Source organism: Homo sapiens, chromosome X, assembly GCF_000001405.40.
Source record: "Homo sapiens chromosome X, GRCh38.p14 Primary Assembly".
Taxonomy (NCBI): domain Eukaryota; kingdom Metazoa; phylum Chordata; class Mammalia; order Primates; family Hominidae; genus Homo; species Homo sapiens.
In genome coordinates, this window is record NC_000023.11 from 114,461,793 (window position 1) to 114,487,365 (window position 25,573).

Here is a 25,573-nt window from a genome sequence, read left to right on the forward strand (position 1 = left end):
GTAATAACACCTCCCAAAGACTTGTAGTGGATCCCGTATTACAGACTGAAGGTCATGCCTGTGGAAAAAAAGAAAAGAAAATGGAATGAAACTATCATTAATAAGCTTTTATTATAATAGCAATCAACATGCTAGCTGCTTTACAGAACTTTAGCTTCATTTAGTCCACAGAACAATCCATTGGAATAGGCACTTTTATAATTCCCATTTCACAGTGGAGGTAACTGAAGTTCAGTGTGCATAAGTAATCTGCCCAAAGCCATGCTAAGTGGCAGGGCTGAATTTTTTTTTATTTTAACTTAGATGCAAGGGATATATGTATAGGTTCGCTACATGGGTATTTTGCACCCAGGTAGTGAGCATAGTACCTAATAGGTAGTTTTTCAACTCACACCCCTCTCCCTACCTTCCCCCATCTAATAGTCCACAGTGCCTATTGTTCCCATGTTTATGTGTAGGTGTAGAACTGGATTTTTCATGCAAGCCTCTCAGATTACTGTGTAGGGAGTTACTTGAGGGTAGAATAATTGTAATGGATGTGTCTGGTAGATAGAAAAACTAAAAAATATAGTGATGGCTTTCTATTTAGCTAGCTAGCTCAACAAGATTAGAGCAAGGCCAAACCAGGGCTAAAGGCAATGATCAAAGATAAAATAAACAAAGCTACTATAAGGCTTCCACATTACAAAAAGGTATCTCTTTGTCATTACACACAGAATGAGGCTAGTGCTATTATGCTTACTCTGGCAGTCAAATGAAAAATTCTTGCTTTGGGAGGTTTGTTCACAGAAGTGTTCCCAATTTGCAGAATTCTAATAAAAGGCTTTCAAACATTCATCAATCCATTCTGAGCTATTGTGGCATTCTTTTTGTCAAGGATTTTGAGTGAGATTATTTGCCTGTGGTTATTAAGGCTCTTGTAGAGGCATAAAAAGTAAGCTCTCTTGAAAAAGGATTTAACTCATTAAATTCTGTTCTGCCTGACGTACATACTTGCATTGTTCTGTCCTCCCCTTAGAGAAAATTGATGTATATTCCCCTTGTCCTGCAAAACTACTGGCAATTGTGCTGAGAGAAAATTTCTAAGAATGCCTCTTGGCATGATATAAGGTGAAGTCTTACCTGAAAATAAACAGAAGTTGTTTTCCAAAGAGCTATTTAAGCGGTTGAATGCAATTTGCAACAGGATTTTGTATACACAGTTGCATGTCTGATTGAGCTTGAAGATTGCATGTGCAAAGCATCAGATGTTCAAAAAAGATTTTATGCACAAACATTCTGATCATCACCCATTTTATCGTTGGCATAAATGACCCAAAAGGTAAGCATATAGCTTTAGGTATACTTCTTGTTGCATCAAATTCTTCTTTAACATTTAAAAGAGTTGCTGTATAAAAAAGAGTGGAAGGTCACTTGATAGGCTAGCCATAATCAAATGGTGACTATCATCCAATTTTTTATTTTTGTTTTGACTACCAATGTCTATCTTCTTCATTGTACACTGATTATTTTTTAATATTTCTATAACTCATTTTCTGCATTTCCTGATCCTTTCCAGGTTACTTTTATTACATTAATAGTATCAGAAGAGTAAAGCAAGGCAACAGAGCTTAAGTAAAATAGAGATTTACATATGTGAGTTTCACACTACCTACTTGAGGCCATCCTAGCTAACTGATACTTCTTTGTTGTTTTTGTACATGCAATTCGAAGTAGAAGAAAAACTCAAATCTTAATAATATACTGAAATTAGGATGCTTGGATATTTTTGCATGTGTGACATCATTAAAGCCTGAAACCTTAACTACAAGGGAGACTGGAAATGTAACTTATAATTTTCCAGCATCTGCCATTCAAGAAGATACTTTAAGAGTTGAAACAGTTATTGAATAAATCAGTCTACCACATCTGCTATACAAAAGACTGGAAAAAAAAACTTGCCACAAGTTCTAGTTTTAAAAAATTGAGAAACAGAGGTTAAGAAGGGGTTTAATACTTATAAATAATTTAAGCATACGAATGTGTTATTTAATAAATCACCATTAAAATGCTGGCACATTTTGGACATACCCTTAATTGCTGTTCATAAGAATCAATATTCTAATAATATTTATTGAATACCTACATTATTCAAGGAATTGTGTGAGAGTAGTTAGACATGGTTCCTGGAAATTTACATTCTAACAGCTAATATAAGAGCTAGGAACAATTAACAATACAAAGTAAAATGTGCATGTATTGATGAAATGTTAACTGCATTAGTGAAGACTCAGGAAAAGTTTCAGGAAGGATATGGCATTTGAATTTGGCCTTAACAAATGTGTTAGGCAAAGAAAAATCAAATTAATACTTGTAATTTTATAGCATTTCTTCAGTTTACAGAATACATTTACATATATTTTCTCATTCCGATTTCACAGCAATTACCTCATATAACTAGCTAAATGTTTTCCCTGTTTCATAGATAAAGAAATTGAGGTTCAGACCACACATCTGGGAAGCAGCAGAGATGAAAAATGAACTCATCTGTTTCATGGCAATCCTACTGACGGATGGTATCACATTGGCACTACCACAGGAATTTAAAAACATAGGAATATAGGAATGGGTATTTCAGGTAAAGAAAGCAGTATGAACAAAATTACATTGGAATAAAAGCTGTTATTCATTAGAGACTGCAAACAATTTAGTTTGGCTGAATTTTAAGGGACACAAAGTAAAGAGACAAACTAGCAATGGTGGGTGAAAGCGAGACAGTAGGTAATTTTGAATATCAAACTAAAGCGTCTGTAGGCCTTAAGCATATGATTAAATTTTTAGAAAGACACGATTACTGCAGTGATTTATGAAACATCATGCATCAATTTGTAGGACTGAAATGCAGTGTGTGAAAGACAGGAAGATAGAATAAGAAGAAATAAGGATCTCATAATTGCCTAGGAAAGAGCAATGAGTGTAAATTAGTCTGGCTGAATTATGAATCAAGACTTTCATCTGTAGCAATATGATTAACTAGATGCTTTGACACACACCTCAGCAATCCCCAAAATACAGAGATGATGGATAAAATCTAATAAATATATTTTTCAAATCAACACATAACTGAGCTCATAGCAAAGTAAGGAAAATGCCCAGGGATTAAAACTGAAGTGACAGCTGGAAAAAAAAAATGGTACACCGAAGCTAAACCTACTAGAGCCCTGGGAGTGTTTGCCAATCTTGTTAACTAAAAGGCTTGTTTTTTAATAATCCACTACCTAGGAAGAGGTGACACATTCTTGGGCTCATACAAGGTATGGAGCTGGAAGAGAATCTCCTCATTTCTCAAAACCTGAAACAACTCAGTGAATGAGTAGATTGGAAAAAAAAATCCACCCGATGGCAAATAAACAAGGAAAATAAGCTTAGCTCTGAGTAGATAAGGCTCCCTGAGAGGAGTATCTTATCAATAGGACTAACTATATCTAGTTTTAGGGTTTTAATTTATAATAGCTGCATGCTCTAGGAAAACATAAACTGAGAAATTAATTTAGCTCAATCCTTGGTTGGTAGTACACTGGGGTATCTGTCAGAATCAAGCACACATTTATGGAGGTATGGACCCTATACCAGGATTTCCAGGATTCCACAAAGTCACAATTGATCATACATTCGTAATCCAAAATTATCATACATATTATACACCTCAAAGACAGTGGCAGTGGTTGAGGCAGTAACAGCAGCATGATTTTTGCTTCTGAATAAATTTCCTCATACACACACACACACACACACACACGCACACAGCAACGAGGCTCATAACAACAGTAATCCATAGACAATAAATCCAGGTGATAAGGTATCACCTCAAAATCTAGAATATGAATGAGTGGGGCCAAATCATTTAGCAGTAAAACCCATGAAGGAGTAGCAGTTGTGTGAGAGACATTAAAGGCAACATTTGGCAATCTCAAGATCTGGAAAACACAGAAATCACCAAAAAATGCTCACTCTCAGAAGAATGTCTCTGTATTCAAACTGGAGCACTCTGAAGGCAGCTGTGGCAACAGCAGTTGAAACTGAGAGGGGACTTGCAGGTTCCAATGTAATGAATGCAAGAAAACTGAAAGGTGCTAGGGTGTCATGAGCTCTTAAGGCTTTGGAAATGCCCAATGAAAGAACTCTCCCAGAAGACTGTAACCCTATACAAAAAGAAACTGCTGGGAGTAGAAGACAGAAGTATTGCATGAGAGGAGTTAGACATGGATACACAGCATTCAGATAACAGTGAAAAAAAAGGAGGAGAAGAACTGGTGATGCATACTACTGAAGATATACATGCAGTGAGAGGGTATATTTTTATTACTTTACAATATAACAGAAGAGGAAGTCCTAGGGCAATGAAGCTAGGGAAGCTATTCTGGCGCATCCCAAGAGGCTGCGGTGTGAAAGTGTTAAGAAACCCCATGTCACTTAAGCATGGGCAAGAAAAAAAGGAGGGTGATTGAACCCCATATCAAGATATGGTAAGAAAAGGATAATGATCCACAAATCACAGTAAGAAAATGATGACACATGAGAAAAAAATACATAAATTTGGGACAAAGCTGATGAACCTATTATTTCAAGCTAAATGTAATTACAAAAAAATATTAGAACAGAACAATACACATCATAATTAGAAAATTTAATAAAGGAGGTAGTAGCCAGGCTGCTGTAGCTGACAAAGCTCAGTTAAGAATTTTACAAAGAAATAAAAATTAAGAAAGACCACAAGGGACACAAAAGAGGATGGATGGGCTGAAAGTACAATAAGTGAACTAGAGAGTAGAAAGCAAAAGCAAAGATAAATTAAACATATATGAAGAAATATTTTTTCTTTATTTTTGAAAGTGATAAATGTCAGGCCTCTGAGCCCAAGCCAAGCCATCGCATCCCCTGTGACTTGCACGTATACGCCCAGATGGCCTGAAGTAAATGAAGAATCACAAAAGAAGTGAATATGCCCTGCCCCACCTTAACTGATGACATTCCACCACAAAAGAAGTGTAAATGGCCGGTCCTTGCCTTAACTGATGACATTACCTTGTGAAAGTCCTTTTCCTGGATCATCCTGGCTCAAAAGCACCCCCACTGAGCACCTTGCAACCCCCACTCCTGCCCGCCAGAGAACAAACCCCCTTTGACTGTAATTTTCCTTTACCTACCCAAATCCTATAAAACGGCCCTACCCTTATCTCCCTTCGCTGACTCTCTTTTTGGACTCAGCCCGCCTGCACCCAGGTGAAATAAACAGCCACGTTGCTCACACAAAGCCTGTTTGGTGGTCTCTTCACATGGACACACATGAAATTTGGTGCCGTGACTTGGATCGGGGTACCTCCCTTGGGAGATCAATCCCCTGTACTCCTGTTCTTTGCTCTGTGAGAAAGATCCACCTATGACCTCAGGTCCTCAGACCGACCAGCCCAAGGAACATCTCACCAATTTTAAATCGGGTAAGCGGCCTCTTCTTACTCTCTTCTCCAACCTCTCTCACTGTCCCTCAACCACTTTCTCCTTTCCACTCTTCAATCTCTCCCTTCTCTTAATTTCAATTCCTTTCATTTTCTGGGAGAGACAAAGGAGACACGTTTTATCCGTGGACCCAAAACTCCGGTGCCAGTCACGGACTGGGAAGGCAGCCTTCCCTTGGTGTTTAACCATGGCAGGGACACCTCTCTGATTATTCACCCAGGTTTCAGAGGTGTCAGACCACGCAGGGATGCCTGCCTTGGTCCTTCACCCTTAGCGGCAAGTCCCACTTTTCTGGGGGAGGGGCAAATATCCCTCAACCCCTTCTCCTTCACTCTTAGCGGCAAGTCCCACTTTTCTAGAGGAGGGGCAAGTACCCCAACCTCGTATCTCTGTGCCCCAATCCCTTATTTCTGCACCCCAGCCTCTTATATCTCTGCGCCCCAATCCCTTATTTCTGCACCCCAACCTCATATCTCTGTGCCCCAATCCCTTATTTCCGCCGCCAACCTCTTATATCTCTGTGCCCCAATCCCTTATTTCCACACCCCGACCTCTTATTTCCGTGCCCCGACCCCTTATTTCTGCACCCCATCCCTTATTTCCATGCCCCAACCTCTTATCTCTGCGCCCCAACCCCTTTTCCCACTTTTCTGGAAGGTAAGAACCCCCGAACCCCTTCCCTCTGTTTCTCTACTCTCTCTTTTCTCTAGGCTTGCTTCCTTCACTATGGGCAACCTTCCACCCTCCATTCCTCCTTCTACTCCCTTGGCCTGTGTTCTCAAAAACTTAAAACCTCTTCAACTCACACCTGACCTAAAACCTAAATGCCTTATTTCCTTCTGCAATGCCGCTTCACCCCAATACCAACTCGACAGTAGTTCCAAATAGCCAGAAAATGGCACTTTGAATTTTTCCATCCTGCAAAATCTAAATAATTCTTGTCGTAAAATAGGTAAACAGTCTGAGGTGCCTGACGTCCAGGCATTCTTTTACACATCAGTCCCTTCCTAGTCTCTGTGCCCAGTGCAACTCATCCCAAATCTTCCTTCTTTCCCTCCCGCCTGTCCCCTCAGTACCAACCCCAAGCATTGCTGAGTCTTTCTAATCTTCCTTTTCTACAGACCCATCTGACCTCTCCCTTCCTCCCCAGGCTGCTCCTCGCCAGGCGGAGATAGGTCCCAATTCTTCTTCAGCCTCTGCTCCTCCACCCTATAATCTTTTTATCACCTCCCCTCCTCACACCAGGTCTGGCTTACACTTTCATTCTGTGACTAGCCCTCCCCCTCCTGCCCAGCAATTTACTCTTAAAAAGGTGGCTGGAGCTAAAGGCATAGTCAAGGTTAATGCTCCTTTTTCTTTATCCCAAATCACATAGCGTTTAGGCTCTTTTTCATCAAATATAAAAACCCAGCCCAGTTCATGACTTGTTTGGCAGCAACCCTGAGACACTTTACAGCCCTAGACCCTAAAACGTCAAAAGGCCATCTTATTCTCAAAGTACATTTTATTACCCAATCTGCTCCCGACATTAAATAAAACTCCAAAAATTGGAATCTGGCCCTCAAACCCCACAACAGGACTTAATTAACCTCACCTTCAAGGTGTACAATAACAGAAAAAAGTTGCAATTCCTTGCCTCCACTCTGAGACAAACCCCAGCCACATCTCCAGCACACAAGAACTTCCAAACGCCTGAACCGCAGCGGCCAGGCATTCCTCCAGAACCTCCTCCCACAGGAGCTTGCTACACGTGCCGGAAATCTGGCCACTGGGCCAAGGAATGCCCGCAGCCCGGGATTCCTCCTAAGCCGCGTCCCATCTGTGTGGGACCCCACTGAAAATCAGACTGTTCAACTCACCTGGCAGCCACTCCCAGAGCCCCTGGAACTCTGGCCCAAGGCTCTCTGACTGACTCCTTCCCAGATCTTCTCGGATTAGCGGCTGAAGACTGACGCTGCCCGATCGCCTCGGAAGCCCCCTAGACCATCACAGATGCCGAGCTTCGGGTAACTCTCACAGTGGAAGGTAAGTGATTACCTTCTTAATCAATACGGAGGCTACGCACTCCACCTTACCTTCTTTTCAAGGGCCTGTTTCCCTTGCCTCCATAACTGCTGTGGGTATTGATGGCCAGGCTTCTAAACCTCTTAAAACTCCCCAACTCTGGTGCCAACTTAGACAATACTCTTTTAAGCACTCCTTTTTAGTTATCCCCACCTGCCCAGTTCCCTTATTAGGCTGAGACACTTTAAATTATCTGCTTCCCTGACTATTCCTGGACTACAGCTAAATCTCATTGCCGCCCTTCTTCCCAATCCAAAGCCTCCTTTGCGTCCTCCTCTTGTATCCCCCCACCTTAACCCACAAGTATAAGATACCTCTACTCCCTCCTTGGTGACCGATCATGCACCCCTTAACGTCTCATTAAAACCTAATCACCCTTACCCCACTCAACACCAGTATCCCATCCTGCGGCACGCTTTAAAAAGATTAAAGCCTGTTATCACTCGCCTGCTACAGCATGGCCTTTTAAAGCCTATAAACTCTCCTTACAATTCCCCCATTTTACCTGTCCTAAAACCAGACAAGCCTTACAAGTTAGTTCAGGATCCTGGCCTTATCAACCAAATTGTTTTGCCTATCCACCCCATGGTGCCAAACCCATATACTCTCCTGTCCTCAATACCTGCCTCTATAATCCATTATTCTGTTCTAGATCTCAAACATGCTTTCTTTACTATTCCTTTGCACCCTTCATCCCAGCCTCTCTTCGCTTTCACTTGGACTGACCCTGACACCCATCAAGCTCAGCAAATTACCTAGGCTGTACTGCCGCAAAGCTTCACAGACAGCCCCCATTACTTCAATCAAGCCCAAATTTCTTCCTCATCTGTTACCTATCTCGGCATAATTCTCATAAAAACACACGTGCTCTCCCTGCCAATTGTGTCCGACTGATCTCTCAAACCCCAGCACCTTCTACAAAACAACAACTCCTTTCCTCCTAGGCATGGTTAGCGCGGTCAGAATTCTTACACAAGAGCCAGGACCACACCCTGTAGCCTTTCTGTCCAAACAACTTGACCTTACTGTTTTAGCCTAGCCCTCATGTCTGTGTGCAGTGGCTGCCACTGCTTTAATACTTTTAGAGGCCCTCAAAATCACAAACTATGTTCAAATCACTCTCTACAGTTCTCATAACTTCCAAAATCTGTTTTCTTCCTCATACCTGACGCATATACTTTCTGCTTCCCGGCTCCTTCAGCTATACTCACTCTTTGTTGAGTCTCCCACAATTACCATTGTTCCTGGCCTGGACTTCAATCCGGCCTCCCACATTATTCCTGATACCGCACCTGACCCCCATGACTGTATCTCTCTGATCCACCTGACATTCACCCCATTTCCCCAAATTTCCTTCTTTCCTGTTCCTCACCCTGATCACGCTTGATTTATTGATGGCGGTTCCACCAGGCCTAATCGCCACACACCAGCAAAGGCAGGTTATGCTATAGTACAAGCCACTAGCCCGCCTCTTAGAACCTCTCATTTCCTTTCCATCGAGGAAATCTATCCTCATGGGAATAACTTCTCAGTGTTCCATCTGCTATTCTACTACTCCTCAGGGATTATTCAGGCCCCCTGCCTTCCCTACACATCAAGCTCGAGGATTTGCCCCACCCAGGACTGGCAAATTAGCTTTACTCAACAAGCCCTGAGTCAGATAACTAAAATACCTCTTAGTCTAGGTAGATACTTTCACTGGATAGGTAGAGGCCTTTCCTACAGGGTCTGGGAAGGCCACCACAGTCATTTCTTCCCTTCTGTCAGACATAATTCCTCAGTTTAGCTTTCCCACCTCAATACAGTCTGATAACAGATGAGCCTTTATTAGTCAAATCAGCCAAGCAGTTTTTCAGCCTCTTAGTATTCAGTGAAACCTTTATATCCCTTATGGTCCTCCGTCTTCAAGAAAAGTAGAATGGACTAAAGGTCTTTTAAAAACACACCTCACCAAGCTCAGCCACCAACTTAAAAAGAACCGGGCAATACTTTTACCACTTTCCCTTCTCAGAATTCAGGCCTGTCCTCGGAATGCTACAGGGTACAGCCCATTTAAGCTCCTGTATAGACGCTCCTTTTTATTAGGCCCAGTCTCATTCCAGACACCAGACCAACTTAGACTGTGCCCCAAAAAAACTTGTCATCCCTACTATCTTCTGTCTAGTCATACTCCTATTCACCGTTCTCAACTACTCATACATGCCCTGCTCTTGTTTACACTGCTGGTTTACACTGTTTTTCCAAGCCATCACAGCTGATATCTCCTGGTGCTATCCCCAAACTGCCACTCTTAACTCTTGGAGTAAATAAACAATCTTTGCTGGCAGGACTATGCCGAATCTCCTTAAGCACTCTCTAATTAGATGTCCTAGGTCCTCCCAATTCTTAGACCTTTTATACCTGTTTTTCTCCTTCTGTTATTCCATTTAGTTTTTCAATTCATCCAAAACCGTATCCAGGCCATCACCAATCATTCTATATGACAAATGTTTCTTCTAACATCCCCACAATATCACCCCTTACCACAAGACCTCCCTTCAGCTTAATCTCTCCCACTCTAGGTTCCCACACCGCCCCTAATCCCGCTTGAAGCAGCCCTGAGAAACATCACCCATTCTCTCTCCATACCACCCCCCAAAAATTTTCACCGCCCCAACACTTCAACACTATTTTGTTTTATTTTTCTTATTAATATAAGAAGGCAGGAATGTCAGGCCTCTGAGCCCAAGCCAAGCCATCGCATCCCCTGTGACTTGCATGTATACATCCAGATGGCCTGAAGTAACTGAAGAATCACAAAAGAAGTGAATATGCCCTGCCCCACCTTAACTGATGACATTCCACCACAAAATGGCCGGTATTTATTTATTCCACTGGTAAATGGCCGGTCCTTGCCTTAACTGATGACATTACCTTGTGAAAGTCCTTTTCCTGGCTCATCCTGGCTCAAAAAGCACCCCCACTGAGCACCTTGCGACCCCCACTCCTGCCCGCCAGAGAACAAACCCCCTTTGACTGTAATTTTCCTTTACCTACCCAAATCCTATAAAACGGCCACACCCTTATCTCCCTTCACTGACTCTCTTTTTGGACTCAGCCCACCTGCACCCAGGTGAAATAAACAGCCATGTTGCTCACACAAAGCCTGTTTGGTGGTCTCTTCACACGTACGCGCATGAAAATAAATACTTACAATAGACGAAGAAAATGCAACATATATGCGAAAAGAGTGTTAGAAGCATAAGACCAAAGAGAAAACTACAAATATTAAAAACCATAACCAAGAGTACTTTCCTGAAATTAAAGAAGATTTGAAGTTACAAGTTACTTGAGACAATCAACCCTGAATGACCAATGTAAAGGTATATTCTAGCAAAAGTCTCATCTACTGAAAATAAAACATCTTTTGGGAATACAAGTAAAAGTATCAAACAAAAGGGTTTTAAAAATTAGATTACCATTAGACTTGTTGACTACAATGCTTTAAACCAGAAATTCCTAAAGCAATTTAAGAAATTCAAAGAATTTGTGAAACACAATACAAATTGTTGTGAATATGCAAGAATTCAGGAAATACTACACCTACAAGTTTTTCCTCGATAATCTACTGAAGAATAAGCTTCACACTACCAAAAACAATATTAAAATGGCTGTGAGCATTAAGTATATTCAGTTACATGACGAAGGTTAAATAATGGTGATAAGGACAAATGGGTATATGTAAATGATGTTGGCTCTTCCAACTATGATATATTACAACTATTTAAAATGGTGGGGAGAAGAAGTAGATTCAATGTTGAGAGTTTAGGGATATAGTTGGAATTTGGGGAAAGAGAGGAGAAGAAAAGAAAAGAGTTTTAGCTATTTTTAATAGTGCTTATTGTAAGAAATGAATAGAAGAAAGTATCTTGAAAGAAGAGATACTATATAAGGGAATAACATAATGGCAATTATTAGAACAAAAAGTAAAATCTTCCTAAATACCAACATTAATACCTAAGAGAAGGAGAGAGAGGGAGAGAAAGGAGGGTGGAGGGTACAAAAAACCGTCTAGAGAAAAATTTTAGAGCTTGATGAAGAACAGAATCGAGACTAAATATATCACAGTTATTAATAAATACAAAAAATCATGACTCACAAATTAAAGGAACAATATGTTTTAGATTGACTAAAAAAGTAAAATCAAACCTACACTTTATACAAAGACACATCTAACATAAAGAAATTCAAAAGGTTAAAAATAAAAGATGCCAGTTTTCCTACCAAACAAAAGTAAATGAAAAGAGAGTAACAGTCAAGAACTTGATAGCTAACAAGGTAGAATTCAGACTAAAAAGTAAGAGACAAATAAACACTTTAAATCAGTAAGTTTACGATTCAGAATGATGAGGCATTAATATTTCTGCATATAATATAAAAACAAAATTTTCTATAAATAGGAACTATAGTTGGTATGAAGATAAATAAACATAGACACACTAGTAATGGGATATATTAGTATGCCAATATCCAATTCACATGAAATGGACACAAATTTAGAAACTATAAAGAAGGTACAAACAGCATAATCAATATCATATGGAAAAATATTATCCCTTGTGCCCTGAATTATAGAGAAGTTTTTGGAGTGCTTATAAAATATTTCTGAAAACTGACTACATATAAGGGTGCTGTAAAAATGTCAATAATTCTAAAAAATCAAAATGTTATAGTTGGAATTCTCTATTGTCATAAAACAAGAAAATATATATTTAAACAAATTTTTACCTAAATATATTTAAAAACGTGCTAGCAAACAACTCTTAGGTCAAAGTAGAAATATAAAACATAATTGGAGAATTTCTTGTAAATATCAATAATGAAATACAGCAAAAGCCATTATCAGAAGAAAAATATGCAATTCAATACCTATATAAACAGAACTGAAAAAAAAATAAATAAATTACTCATGTTAAAAGACCAGAGAAAAAATGAAAAATAAACCAAAAGAAAAAATAATTAAGAAAATAATAATAAAATCAGATGTTAATGAGTTAGAAGATAGAAAACTGTAGAAATCATACATAAAAAGGCAAGCAAGCAAGCTAGTTCATTGGGAAAAAGTGCAAAAGATTGATAAATCATTAAGTAACCTAATAAAGCAGAGAAAGGAGCCACAAGTGCAGATAAGTAGAAGTGACAAGTGGAAAATAACTATCAATTATTTTACGTGAGACTATTTTGCATATATCTATGCAATTCCATTTTAAAATCTAGAAAAATAAATAATTCCTTGAAAATATAGTTTACCAAATTTAAGTCAAAATAAAAATACGATACAGACCATTTTTCATAGACAAATAGAGACAGTTGTAAAGAATTCACCTGCAAAAAAGCACTAGACCTATATGGCTTCCCAGGGGAGTTCTACAAGACCTTTTAAAGATCTGCCCATCTTAACGCTTCCAAAACTATTAAAGAGCATGTAAAAAGAAAAAAAATCCAAATTCACTTTATGTAGCAAATATAATATTAATATCCAAATGAAAACTATAGTCTGGTATCACTTATAAATATTTGATGCAAAATTCTTAAATAAAACATTAGCAAACAGAATCCAGAAACACATTGAAAAGTAACACATTATTTGGGATTATGTAACTAACTGGGGTTTATTTAGGAATGTAGTGGTGGTTCAACATTAAGAGAAAATTTACACAATTATCATATTAATAGAACTAGAAAGAAAAAAGCATTATCATCTTTATAAGAAACCTAAATCTATATCACTAAATTCAGCAACCATTAATTTAATTTTTTTTTTTTTTGAGACACATTCTCACTCCATCACCAAGGCTGGAGTGCAGTGGCGCAATCTCAGCTCACTGCAACCTCTGCCTCCCAGGTTCAAGCAATTCTCGTGCTTCAGCCTCCAGAGTAGCTGGGATTACAGGTGCGTGCCACCACACCTGGCTAGTTGTCGTATTTTTAGTAGAGACGGGGTTTTGCTTTGTTGGCCAGGCTGGTCTCGAACTCATGACCTGAAATGATCCACCTGCCTTGGCCTCCTAAAATGCTGGGATTACAGGCATAAGCCACCGTGCCCAGCCAATTTTTAAAAATATTAAATTAAGTAGAAATCAATGGATACTTTAATACACATGGCATCAGCCCCCAAACCAGTATATTTCTCAGTTGGTAAACATCGGAGACTTCCCCCGTTAAAGTACATTCACTATCTGCAGCACTACTCAATTTGCATTAGATGCATTAGCCAGTGTAGTTGTAAAAGAGAAAGCAATTGGGATATCTGAATCATATAGTAGCTTTTTGGTTTTGTTTTTTTTTTTTGTTTTGTTTTTTTTGTTTTTTGAGGAACCTCCGTACTGTTCTCCATAGTGGTTGCACTAATTTAAATTCCTGTCAACAGTATATTAGGATAACTCTTTCTTCACATCCTCACCAACATTTGTTGCTGCTAATCTTTTGGATAAAAGCCCTCTTAACTGGGGTGAGATGATATCTCATTGTAGTTTTGATTTGAATTTCTCTGGTGAGTAGTGATGTTGAGCATTTTTCCCACATACTTGGCTATTTGTATGTCTTCTTTTGAAAAATGTCTATTCAGATATTTTGCCCAGATTTTAATCAGATTGGTTTTTTCCTGTTGAGTTGTTTGAGCTCCTTATATATTTTGATTATTAATCCCTTGTCAGATGGGTAGTTTGCAAATATTTTCTTCCCTCTGTTAGTTGTCGCTTCATTTTGTTGATAGTTTCCTTTGCTGTGCAGAAACTTTTTAGCTTGATGTGATCCTATTTATCCATTTTGATTTGGTCGCCTATTCTTTTGAGGTCTTACTCAAGAAATCTTTGCCCAGACCAATGTCCAGAAGTGTTTACCCAATGTTTTCTTCTAGTAATTTCATAGTTTGAGGTCTTAGATTTAAGTGTTTAATCCATTTTAGTTTAATTTTTGTGTGGTGTGGCAAAAGATAGGGGTCAGGTTTCACTCTTCTGCATCTGGATATCCAGTTTTCCCAGCACTATTTATTGAAGAGATTGTCCTTTCCCCAGTGTATGTTCTGTTAGATGTATATCCAAAAGAAAGAAAATCATTATATTAAAGAGATATCTGCATTCCCATGTTTATTGCAGTGCTATTCACAAAGGCCAAGATGTAAAATCAACCTATGTACCCATCAATGGATGAATGGATAAAGAAAATGTGGTACATATACGTAATGGAAAATTATTCAGCCATAAAAAGAATGAAACCTGTCATTTGCAACAATATAGATGGAGTTGGAGGACATTATATTAAGTGAAATAAGCCAGGCACAGAGAGACAAATATCTCATGTTCTCACTCATATGTGGGAAAAAGAAAAGAAAGAAAAAGAAAACGGAACTTATGGAGACAGAAACTAGAATGATCATTACCAGAGACTGGGAAGGGTAATGGGGAGGGAAAAATAGAATGGGGATGGTCAATGAGTATAAAAACACAGTTAGATAGAATAAATAAGATCTTGTATTCAGTAGCAAAATAAGGATGCTATAGTTAATAATTTATTGTATATTTAGAAATAACTAAAATAGTAGAATTAGAATATTCCTAACACAAAGAAATGATAACTGCTTAACATAATGGATACCCCAAATACCCCGATCATCACACGTTGTATGCCTGTATCAAAACATCATATATGCCCCATAAATATATACAGCTATCATGTGCCCATAATAATTAGAAATTAAAATTTTAAATAAATTTTAAAAATAAAAAGGGCAATTGAAAATATAAGTCTAGAAGAGATAAAATTATGGGTATCTCTACTTTCAGATGATATGATCCTATAGCTGAAAACCCAAAAAGAAACAATGCAAAATATTATAAATATTAAAAGAAATTAGTAAAGTAGCAATGTATAGTAAAGTTAACACATTGACCAAAACAGGCCTCATATATAAAACCAATCAGTTAGAAGATGTATAGGAAAAACAGACCATATTTACAACACTCATAAAATATTCATATGAACTTGACAGGTTGTACATAAAGCATAGGGTTTCTTAATTTATGAGGAAGTGTATAAAATACGCCTGAAAACAAACAAGTAAACTTGAACAAGCTGATGACTTTACATTATAAACATGTAAATTATTCCCAAGTTAACTTATAAAATTACTATCAGGTGTTTTGTGTGCTAGACAAGTTATTCGTACAGTTCATTTAGAAAAATAAATAAGCACAGATGTCCAGAAAATTTGCTAAAAGGAAGAACTGGACGGAGTGGGGCAGAAAGTGGCCAGCCATACCAAAATATAAAATATGGTATAATACCTTTCTACCAAAAACAGAGAGACTATGCAATAGAGAACATTCTGAAGGAGACCCAAATACCTACTATCCAATGTAGTATATGCTGAGGCTAGTTTCTCAAATCAGTGAGAAAGAGAAGAATTTTTAATAAGTGATGTTTGGGCCACTTGGTAATATAAAAAATGATGGAACTGGATCCATTTTCTTCACACATTAGACCAGGATAAATTCCAAATAGATCTGATATCTATTTATTAAAAATTACTCAGGCTCAGTGGCTCATACATGTCCTTTCCCCAATGTATGTTCTGCTAGGTGTGTATCCAAAAGAAAGAAAATCAGTATATCGAAGAGATATCTTCACTTTCATGTTTATTGCAGTCCTATTCACAAAGGCCAAGATATAAAATCAAACTACATGTCCATCAATGGGTGAATTGATAAAGAAAATGTGGCACATATACACAATGGAAAATTTTCAGCCATAAAAAGAATGAAATCCTGTCATTTGCAACCATTTCCTTGCAAATGACATTTTGTTGCAACCATTTTGTTGCAACCAAATGATATTTTGTTGCAAATGACAGGATTTCATTGGAATTACATGCTGAAATTCCAGTACTTTGGGAGACCGATGGGAGAGGATAGTTTGAGGCCAGGAGTTCAAGAACAGACCGGTCACCATAGCAAGAGCCTCTTTCTACAAAAAATTTTAAAAATTATCCAGGCATGGTGCCATGTACCTGTAGTCCCAGCTACTTGGAAGGCCAAGGCGGGTGGGTCACTTGAGCCCAGGAGTTTGAGGATGCAGTGAGCTATTTCAGGCCACTGCACTCCAGCGTGGTAACCAAGCTAGACGCTGTCTCTAAAAAAAAATTAAACATTAAAAAATTGAAAAATGAAAACATTTGAGTATGAGAAGGAAACATTGGCAAATTTCAGTATAACCTGACAGTCAGAAACTCTTTACTATTAATAAAAATCCAAAAGCAATAAAATACTGAAAAATATTAAAATAAAAATGTGTACAAAAAAATAAGCAGAATTTTTCAAAATACATGACAGATAGGGAAATGTATTCTCAACATACCTAACAATGAGTTAATATCCCTATTATGTTAAAAGCTTTTGGAAATTGAGAAAAAATTTTAATTAATAGCAAAGATAGGAATAGTAGTTACACAGAAATATAAATATAGAAAGCCCTAAAGCATGAAAAGATGATCAACTTTGCCTATATTAAAAGAAATATCAAAGTGAGCAAAGTGATATTACGTATCATTTTTCACTTTACTGATTGGTAAAACACCAAAACTTCTACAACAAAGTCTATTGGTACTATAATCACTCACATATTACTGATATTGAGTCGTAATACTATAAACTAGGTGAAGAAGAGTTTGACAATATCTAGCAAAATTTCATATATGCATTTTCCTATTGAACCAAGAATGCCACTTGTAAGAGACAGCCCCAGAATACACTGCCAAATATATGAAAAGTCATGCGCAAGGCTATTCATTTCAACATTATTTGTAATATCAATGAACTGGTTGCAACTCAAATTCCATTAATAAGTAATCAACTGAATAAAGTGTAATACATACACACAATGGAGTGCTATGCAGAGTTTGAAATTGAAATGAAGATTTCTTTTCTACTAAGGAGTGATCCCAGTGATATAATATTAAGAGAAACACAGAAAGAAAAAGAGGAAAAGAATAAATAGATGGAGGGAGAGAGGAAGGAAGAAGGAAAAGAGGAAGGAAAGGAGGAAAGAAAGGAAGGGAGAAAGGAAGGGGAGGAGACACTGATATGATATGCTACATTTGAGAAAGGGGACAGTGGATATAGGTAATCGATGCATTAGGATTAGATTAATGGAAGTTCAATGATACAGAAATACTAAAAAAATTAAATTTATTTTTGAAAAAGATTACGTAGAGGGACTGGAGAAGACAATAAGAGGGGATCAGATATGAAAGTTAAATATCTCAGAATGTACCCTTATTTAGAGTTTTGACTTTGAAATCATTTAATTCTTTTTCATAATTGAAGAAATAACTAAATAAAAAGTTAAAAGAAGAAATTCTTATAAGTCAAAAACAAACTAAAACAATGAACCTAATAATATACCAAATGGATGTCTTCACCTACACAGGGAAAAATAATTTCAAGCAACCTTACAAAACAGTATTTTGAATGTAGATCCCTATATATGAAGATATATGAAGGGAAAATAATAAAAAATCTTCAACTGTTTTTAGCTGTCTTATTGTTGATGATTATGTTAGTATTGCTGTTTTGAATCTCTTGTACATTGTAGGATAAAGCAAATAAGCAATACTGCTAATGTTGCGAATACTGATTTTTCATCATAAGAGAAGAGATAGAAATCAGACCAGTTAAGCAGAAGCCTTGCAATATTACATTTGAATAGGAAATATCAGTATGAGCTCATGATTTGTTTTTCTCTTTCTTATTTTAAAAATATATACTTTCTGGGCCAGGTGCAGTGGTTCACACCTGTAATCCCAGCACTTTTGGAGGCCAAGTAGGGCAGATCACTTGAGGCCTGGAGTCTGAGACCAGCCTGAGTAACATGGCAAAACCCCATCTCTACTAGAAATATGAAAATTAGCAGGGCGTGGTGACACGCCTGCAATCCCAGCTACTCAGGAGGCCGAGGCACAAGAATCGCTTGAACCCAGGAGACGGAGGTTGCAGTGAGCCGAGATCATGTCACTGCACTCCAACCTGGGTGATAGAGTGAGATTCTGTCTCAGAAAAATAAATAAATAAATACACACACACACACACACACACACACATACATATATATATACACACACACATACATACATATATACTGTCTAGCTCTTTTCAATGAAAGGGACCAGAAGAAATGGCAGTGCTGTAGCAATGAACACCCCTAGATCCCAGATTGTGGTATTCAAAGACCATCTTTTATTAAAAGAGTTCCTTGAAGAAATTGTGTTTCCAGATCTGAGGAATAAAATATGCACAAAAGACCAAATGACTTCTCCAGTTAGAAAGTTAGGAATTTTTATTTTATTTATTTATTTATTTATTTATTTATTTATTTATTTAAGAGAGTTTTGCTCTGTTGCCCAGGCTAGAATCTCGGCTCACTGCAACCTCTGCCTCCCGGGTTCAAGCAATTCTCTCACCTCAGCCTCCCCAGTAGCTGGGACTACAGGTGTGTACCACCATGCCCGGCTAATTTTTGTATTTTTAGGAGAGACAGGGTTTCACCATGTTGGCTGATCTCAAACTCCTGACCTCAGTTGATCCAGCCCCCTTGGCCTCCCAAAGTGCTGAGATTACAGGCATGAGCCACTGTGCTTGGCCTTGAAAGTCAGGAAATTTTGAAAGATTACTGGTGTTGTTTCAAAAAGACACTACCCTGAGATGAGACAATTAGTTTATCACAAGGGATAATGACAATTAGTTAAAATACAGCAAATAAATAAAAGTCCATGCATTCATACTTACACTTTTAAAAATGATCATTGATCACTTCAGGAGATTGTTGTCACCAACTCATTATTTTGAAAATTGGCAAAAAGGAAAGAAGCATTTAGCCTGCCTTTCACATGTTAACAATTTCAAAAGATTGAAATCATTGATGAGGGAAAGTTTTTCTTTACAGATGAATTCCAGCTAATGAATTCGGAAGAAATAATAGAACTAAAAAATCACTATTTTGCAATACCTAATGAAATAATGGATAGGGGCAATAACCATAAATGGCTGCTATACTCTTTTGTTGAAATGTTGATTGCAAACTTTACGTTGGTGTTACAGGTTGAGTTGTATTCCCTCAAAATTCATATCTCGAAGTCTTAGCGCCCAGTATCTATCAGAATGAGCTCTTATTTGGAATTAAGGTTGCTGCAGATGTAATTAGTTAGATGAGGTCATAGTGGAGTAGCATGAATCCCTAATCCAATATGACTGGTGTCCTTATAAAGAGGGAAGGTTTGGAAATTTGGAGAGACACACAGGGAGAACACCATGTGAAGGTGAAGGCTCAGATTGAGGTGATGCCTCTACAAGCCAAAAAATACTCAAGATTTCCAGAAAACCATAAGAAGCTAGGCGAAAGGCTTGGAACAGATTCTTTCTCACAGCCCTCAGAGGGAACCAAGCCTGCTGGTACCTTAATCTTGGACTTAATTATCAACCAAGGATTTATACTCTGATAAACTACTCTTAAAAATGACCCTCAAATAGATTTTCAAACAAAGAAAAAGTGACATATATTATTCATAGTAATGTGCTGGTAAAATTTTAGCCACTGCCTGTGGAGAAGGGAGGTGTTACCAATATGAAGGTCACTGAACACAGATTTGGGAAGAGATTTGCATTAATACGACATTTTATAATATTTCCAACATGCAGATAAAATAGATATAAACAATCTCAAGACCATAGATCATAGAAAAATCTAGTAAAATAATTCAGAAGATTAAGTTTTAAATATTTATGACCTTTCTTTTAAATACAATTGATTTAGTTGCAAGCGTACCTAACTCGAATGGCTGTGTTTTACAACCAGCTTGCAAAATTGCTGAAAATCTAGTAGTTGGCTCTTGTTAACTGATACACACCAGCTCATGCACAACACCAGTTATTACCAAGAAATGTTTACTAGAGGAACTTGTAGAGAATGTTAATGCTCCCCAAATTTAGTTCTGAGATACAAAAGCAATGATTTGCAAAGAAATTGGTAGCCATATGAGAAAATGTAGACAAATATTGATAATTATGCCTACTTTGGTGGATAACAAAACAAGATAAAACTAAAAAAGAAGCTCACAATAATAACACCAAAGATTTGAGAAGTGAAATTCCTTAAAATTTTCTAGAATTTTTGTGTAATTCTGGAGAAGAGAGACATTAGATTTTGATATGTGTTTCATGTTAAAATTTTAATTAAAAACTATTATAAAGAAACAGAATATATAACTGCTAAAACAATAAAGAGGAAAAATTAACTGAGCAAACAAACAAAATAGCTTGAACAAGGCACGGAAGGAGACCAAAATAAGCATAGAAATGTATGCTAAATAGAAAAGACCAGTTTTCACTACCTATAAAATCCTATGATGACAGTAATCACAACAAATAGAATTGAAATGAACAAACCAACTTTTAAAAAGCACACATTCTTAGGTTGGACTTTGTAAAAATGTAGCTATATGTTATTGTCAACTAACATGCTTAAAACATAAGGACATAGAAAAACCAAATTTAACGAATGGGAAAAGATGTACCAGAAAAATACGTCTGAAGGAAACTCAATGCAGTCAGGTTAATCTCTCTGTGCCTAAATATTCTCATATTGGAAGCACAAATAATAAAAAATTGGATCTTAGAAGGTTCTTTTGAAAGGTTTCATTGAATTAATATATAAGCACTTACAGTATAGTGTGTAATGTAGTGAATGCTTGATCAAATTTAGCTATCATTATTATTCTGTCACACACATTGAACACATTCAAAAATTAGTCATCCATATCATAATCCATATCATAAACCATCTCATTAACTACAATGCAATTTAAATACCACTGCTAAAATGTCCCCATATTTTGGGGATATTTAATGACAGCAACAATAGCATATTTCTAACTAATCCATGAATAAGAGAAGAAATTATCATGAGAATTTTTAAAATGTGCAAAACTCAAATATGAAAAATAATGAAAGATAAAACTCACTGGATGCAACAAAGATTACATATACATAAATGCACAACTTCAAATACTTTCATGAGGAAAAGAGAAAGGCTAAAACTAATGAACTAGACAGTTAGAAGTTGGGACAAGAAAATTGAATAAGCACGAAAGTACTAGTAGAAGATAATGAAGATAAGAGCAGACATTAGAGAAATAGAAAACAAAAAGGACACAATCAAAAGAATTAACACAACCAAAAAATTGTTCATGAAAAAGCATAATGAAGTAGATGAACCTCCAACAAGATCAGTCTAGTGAAATAAAAGGGATCCTTCTACATGTAAGGTAGAGATTTAAAATATGAATATAATGCTATAGAAAATACGTCAATTAATTTGAAAATTTAGATAAAATGGGCAAGTTTCTAAATAAATGCATTTTAAAAATATTAACATTTTAGTTAAATGACATACAATGTAAAACAAAAAGCTAATGTTTATTTAAATATAGTTTTTTTCTTTTACAGTAAGTGCAGAAATAATCAGGTCAGAACTAGAGAGGCAGCTCAGAGGCATTATCAGAGATGCAGGGCTATATCCTTTATTCTAACATCCTAGTATATGGCTGCCGTCTTCAGGGTCAGCTCATCGTTGAAAATGGAGTTCAAGTCATCTGGTCTGAGTTTCAGGCCAGCAGATGGAGAAAAAGCAGAAGAAGCCAAAGAAAGGTCTTCTGTCTCCTAAACTAGCTTTCTTAAAGGAGTCATCCTGAAAGTCCCATACTGCACTCTGATTTGCAATTAATTGGCCAAAATCTAGTCATTTGGCTACAAGGAAGAATGAGAAAATGTCCTTTGTTCAAGGTGGTATTGTGTGTATTTTGTATATTGGAGTTCTGTTACTTAACTGGAAGGAAAGTATGAATGATTATTAGAAACTACAACACTTAAAAATAGACTTAAAATAGGAAGTTTAACAGATCTGGCCGGGTGCGGTGGCTCATGCCTGTAATCCCAGCACTTTGGGAGGCCGATGCAGGCTGATCATTTGAGGTCAGGAGTTCCAGACCAACTTGGCCAACATAGCGAAACCATGTCTCTCCTAAAAATACAAAAATTAGCCGGGCATGATGGTGCGCTCCTGTAGTCCCAGCTACTCGGGAGGCTGAGGCAGGAGAATTGCTTGAACCTGAGAAACAGAGGTTGTAGTGAGCTGAAATCGCATCACTGCACTCCAGCTTGGGTGACAGAGCAAGACCCCGTCTCAAAAAAAAAAAAAAAAAAAAAGAAAAAAAAAAAGAAAGTTTAATGGATACCTATACCCATTAAATAACCTAAACCAGCAGTTTAAAATCATTTTCCCCATAAATGCATACACTAGGTCTAGATAGCTTTACATAGAGCTCTACCTTTAACACCAAGAGAGAAGATTAAAATTTATACACATTATTCCAGATAAGAGAAAAAAAACCTTCTTCTCAACTCATTTTACAAGGTTAATATAACTTCATACTGAAACCAAAATACAGGGACTGCATAGAAGAGAGAAATTACAGGTTAATCACACCAAATAAAGATAAAACTATCCTAAATAAAATATTAATAAGATGAATACAGCTTTATTTTTATATGTATATTTGTGTGTCTACATATTATGTGTGAACTTAATTCTAGGAATAATAATAAATGACATTAGACAATAATACACCCACCACATGACCACATTAAAGAAAAATATCTTTATGATTAGGAGAAAACTCATCTGATATAATTCATTTAACAGGAATATGATAGATCTTGGCAAAGCAGAAATCAAAGGAAATGTGAAAGGTACACTGCAAACGAAAAGATTTTAGGGAGTGGGAAAAATGGGGAGATGTTAGTCAAATAAAACAAGCTCTCAGTTATAAAATGAGTGAGCTCTAAAAAACAAATATACAGTATGGTGACTATAGTTAATAATACTGTATTGTTTACTTGAAATTTACTAATAAGGCAGTTTTAGTGGCCACGTACACAGCACACATACACATACACACACACACCTATCAACAATAATGGATGTGCTAATTAATTTGACTGTGATAATCAGTACACAATGTATACACATATAAATCATCACATTGTATACCTTGGATATATACATTTTTATTTGTTAGTTAAATATTTCTTTTTATTTTATTTCCAACTTTTATTTTAAGTTCAGTTGTACATGTGCAGGATGTGCAGGTTTGTTACATAGGTAAATGCGTGCCATGGTGGTTTGCTGCACAGGTCATCCCATTGCCTATGTATTAAGCCCAGCATCCATTAGCTCTGATGCTCTCCCTCCTCACCCCGCCCACCCTCCGACAGGCCCCATTGTGTGTTGTTCCCCCACCACCACCCACGTATCCATGTGTTCTCATCATTCAGCTCCCATTTATGAGTGAGAACATGTGGTATTTGGTTTTCTGTTCCTGTGTTAGTTTGCTGAGGATAATGGCTTCCAGCTCCATCCATGTCCCTGCAAAGGACATGATCTCATTCCTTTTTATGGCTGCATAATATTCCATGGTGTGTATGTAACACATTTTCTTTATCCAGTCTTATTATCCATGGGCATTTAAGTTGTTGATTCCATGTTTTGCTATTGCGAATAGTGTTGAAACAAACATATATGTGAATGTATCTTTATAATAGAATGATTTATATATTCCTTTGTGTCTATGCCCAGTAATGAAATTGCTGATCAAATGGTATTTCTGCCTCTAGGTCTTTGAGGAATCGCCATACTGTCTTCCATAATGGTCAAACTAATTTACACTCCCACCAACATTGTAATAGCATTCCTTTTCCTCCACACCCTTGCCAGCATCCATAGTTTTTTGATTTTTTAGTAATAGCCATTCTGATTATTGTGAGATAGTATCTCATTGTGGTTTTGATTTGCATTTCTCTAATGATCAGTGATGTTGAGCTTTTTTTCATGTTTGTTGGCCGCATGTATTTTTCTGAGGAATGTCTGTTCATGTCATGTGCCCACTTTTTAATGGGGTTGTTTTTTTCTTGTAAATTTGTTTAAGCTCCTTGTAGATACTGGATATTAGACCTTTGTCAGATGCATAGATTGCAAAATTTTTCTCCCATTCTGTAGGTTGTCTGTTCACTCTGATGATAGTTTATTTTGCTGTGCAGAAGCTCTTTAGTTTAATTAGATCCCATTTGTCAATTTTTGCTTTTGTTGCAATTGTTTTTGGTGTCTTCATTATGAAATCTTGCCCATACTTATGTCCTGAATGGTATTGCCCAGATTTTCTTTTAGGGTTTTTTTTTATACTTTAAGTTTTAGGGTACATGTGCACAATGTGCAGGTTAGTTACATATGTATACATGTGCCATGTTGGTGTGCTGCACCCATCAACTCGTCATTTAACATTAGGTATATCTCCTAATGCTATCCCTCCCCTCTCCCCCTACCCCACAACAGTCCCCGGTGTGTGATGTTCCCCTTCCTGTGTCCATGTGTTCTCATTGTTCAATTCCCACCTATGAGTGAGAACATGTGGTGTTTGGTTTTTTGTCCTTGTGATAGTTTGCTGAGAATGATGGTTTCCAGCTTCATCCATGTCCCTACAAAGGACATGAACTCATCATTTTTTATGGCTGCATAGTATTCCATGGTGTATATGTGCCACATTTTCTTAATTCAGTCTATCATTGTTGGACATTTGGCTTGGTTCCAAGTCTTTGCTATTGTACAAGAAAAAAACAAACAGCCCCATCAAAAAGTGGACGAAGGATATGAACAGACACTTCTCAAAAGAAGGCATTTATGCAGCCAAAAGACACATGAAAAAATGCTCATCATCACTGGCCATCAGAGAAATGCAAATCAAAACCACAGTGAGATACCATCACATACCAGTTAGAATGGCGATCATTAAAAAGTCAGGAAACAACAGGTGGTGGAGAGGATGTGGAGAAATAGGAACACTTTTACACTGTTGGTGGGACTGTAAACTAAT

At 37.2% G+C, this 25,573-nt stretch overlaps 2 annotated features.

Moving 5' to 3' along the window:
• Positions 4,640 to 5,195: an enhancer, noted in NCBI's record as "OCT4-NANOG-H3K27ac-H3K4me1 hESC enhancer chrX:113700885-113701440 (GRCh37/hg19 assembly coordinates)". NCBI's record gives its function as "activates a minimal SCP1, AML or CMV promoter by ChIP-STARR-seq in naive and primed H9 embryonic stem cells {active_cell/tissue: H9 hESC(naive and primed)}" and the evidence as "EXISTENCE:reporter gene assay evidence [ECO:0000049][PMID:30033119]".
• Positions 9,126 to 9,739: an enhancer, noted in NCBI's record as "NANOG-H3K27ac hESC enhancer chrX:113836715-113837329 (GRCh37/hg19 assembly coordinates)". NCBI's record gives its function as "activates a minimal SCP1, AML or CMV promoter by ChIP-STARR-seq in naive H9 embryonic stem cells {active_cell/tissue: H9 hESC(naive)}" and the evidence as "EXISTENCE:reporter gene assay evidence [ECO:0000049][PMID:30033119]".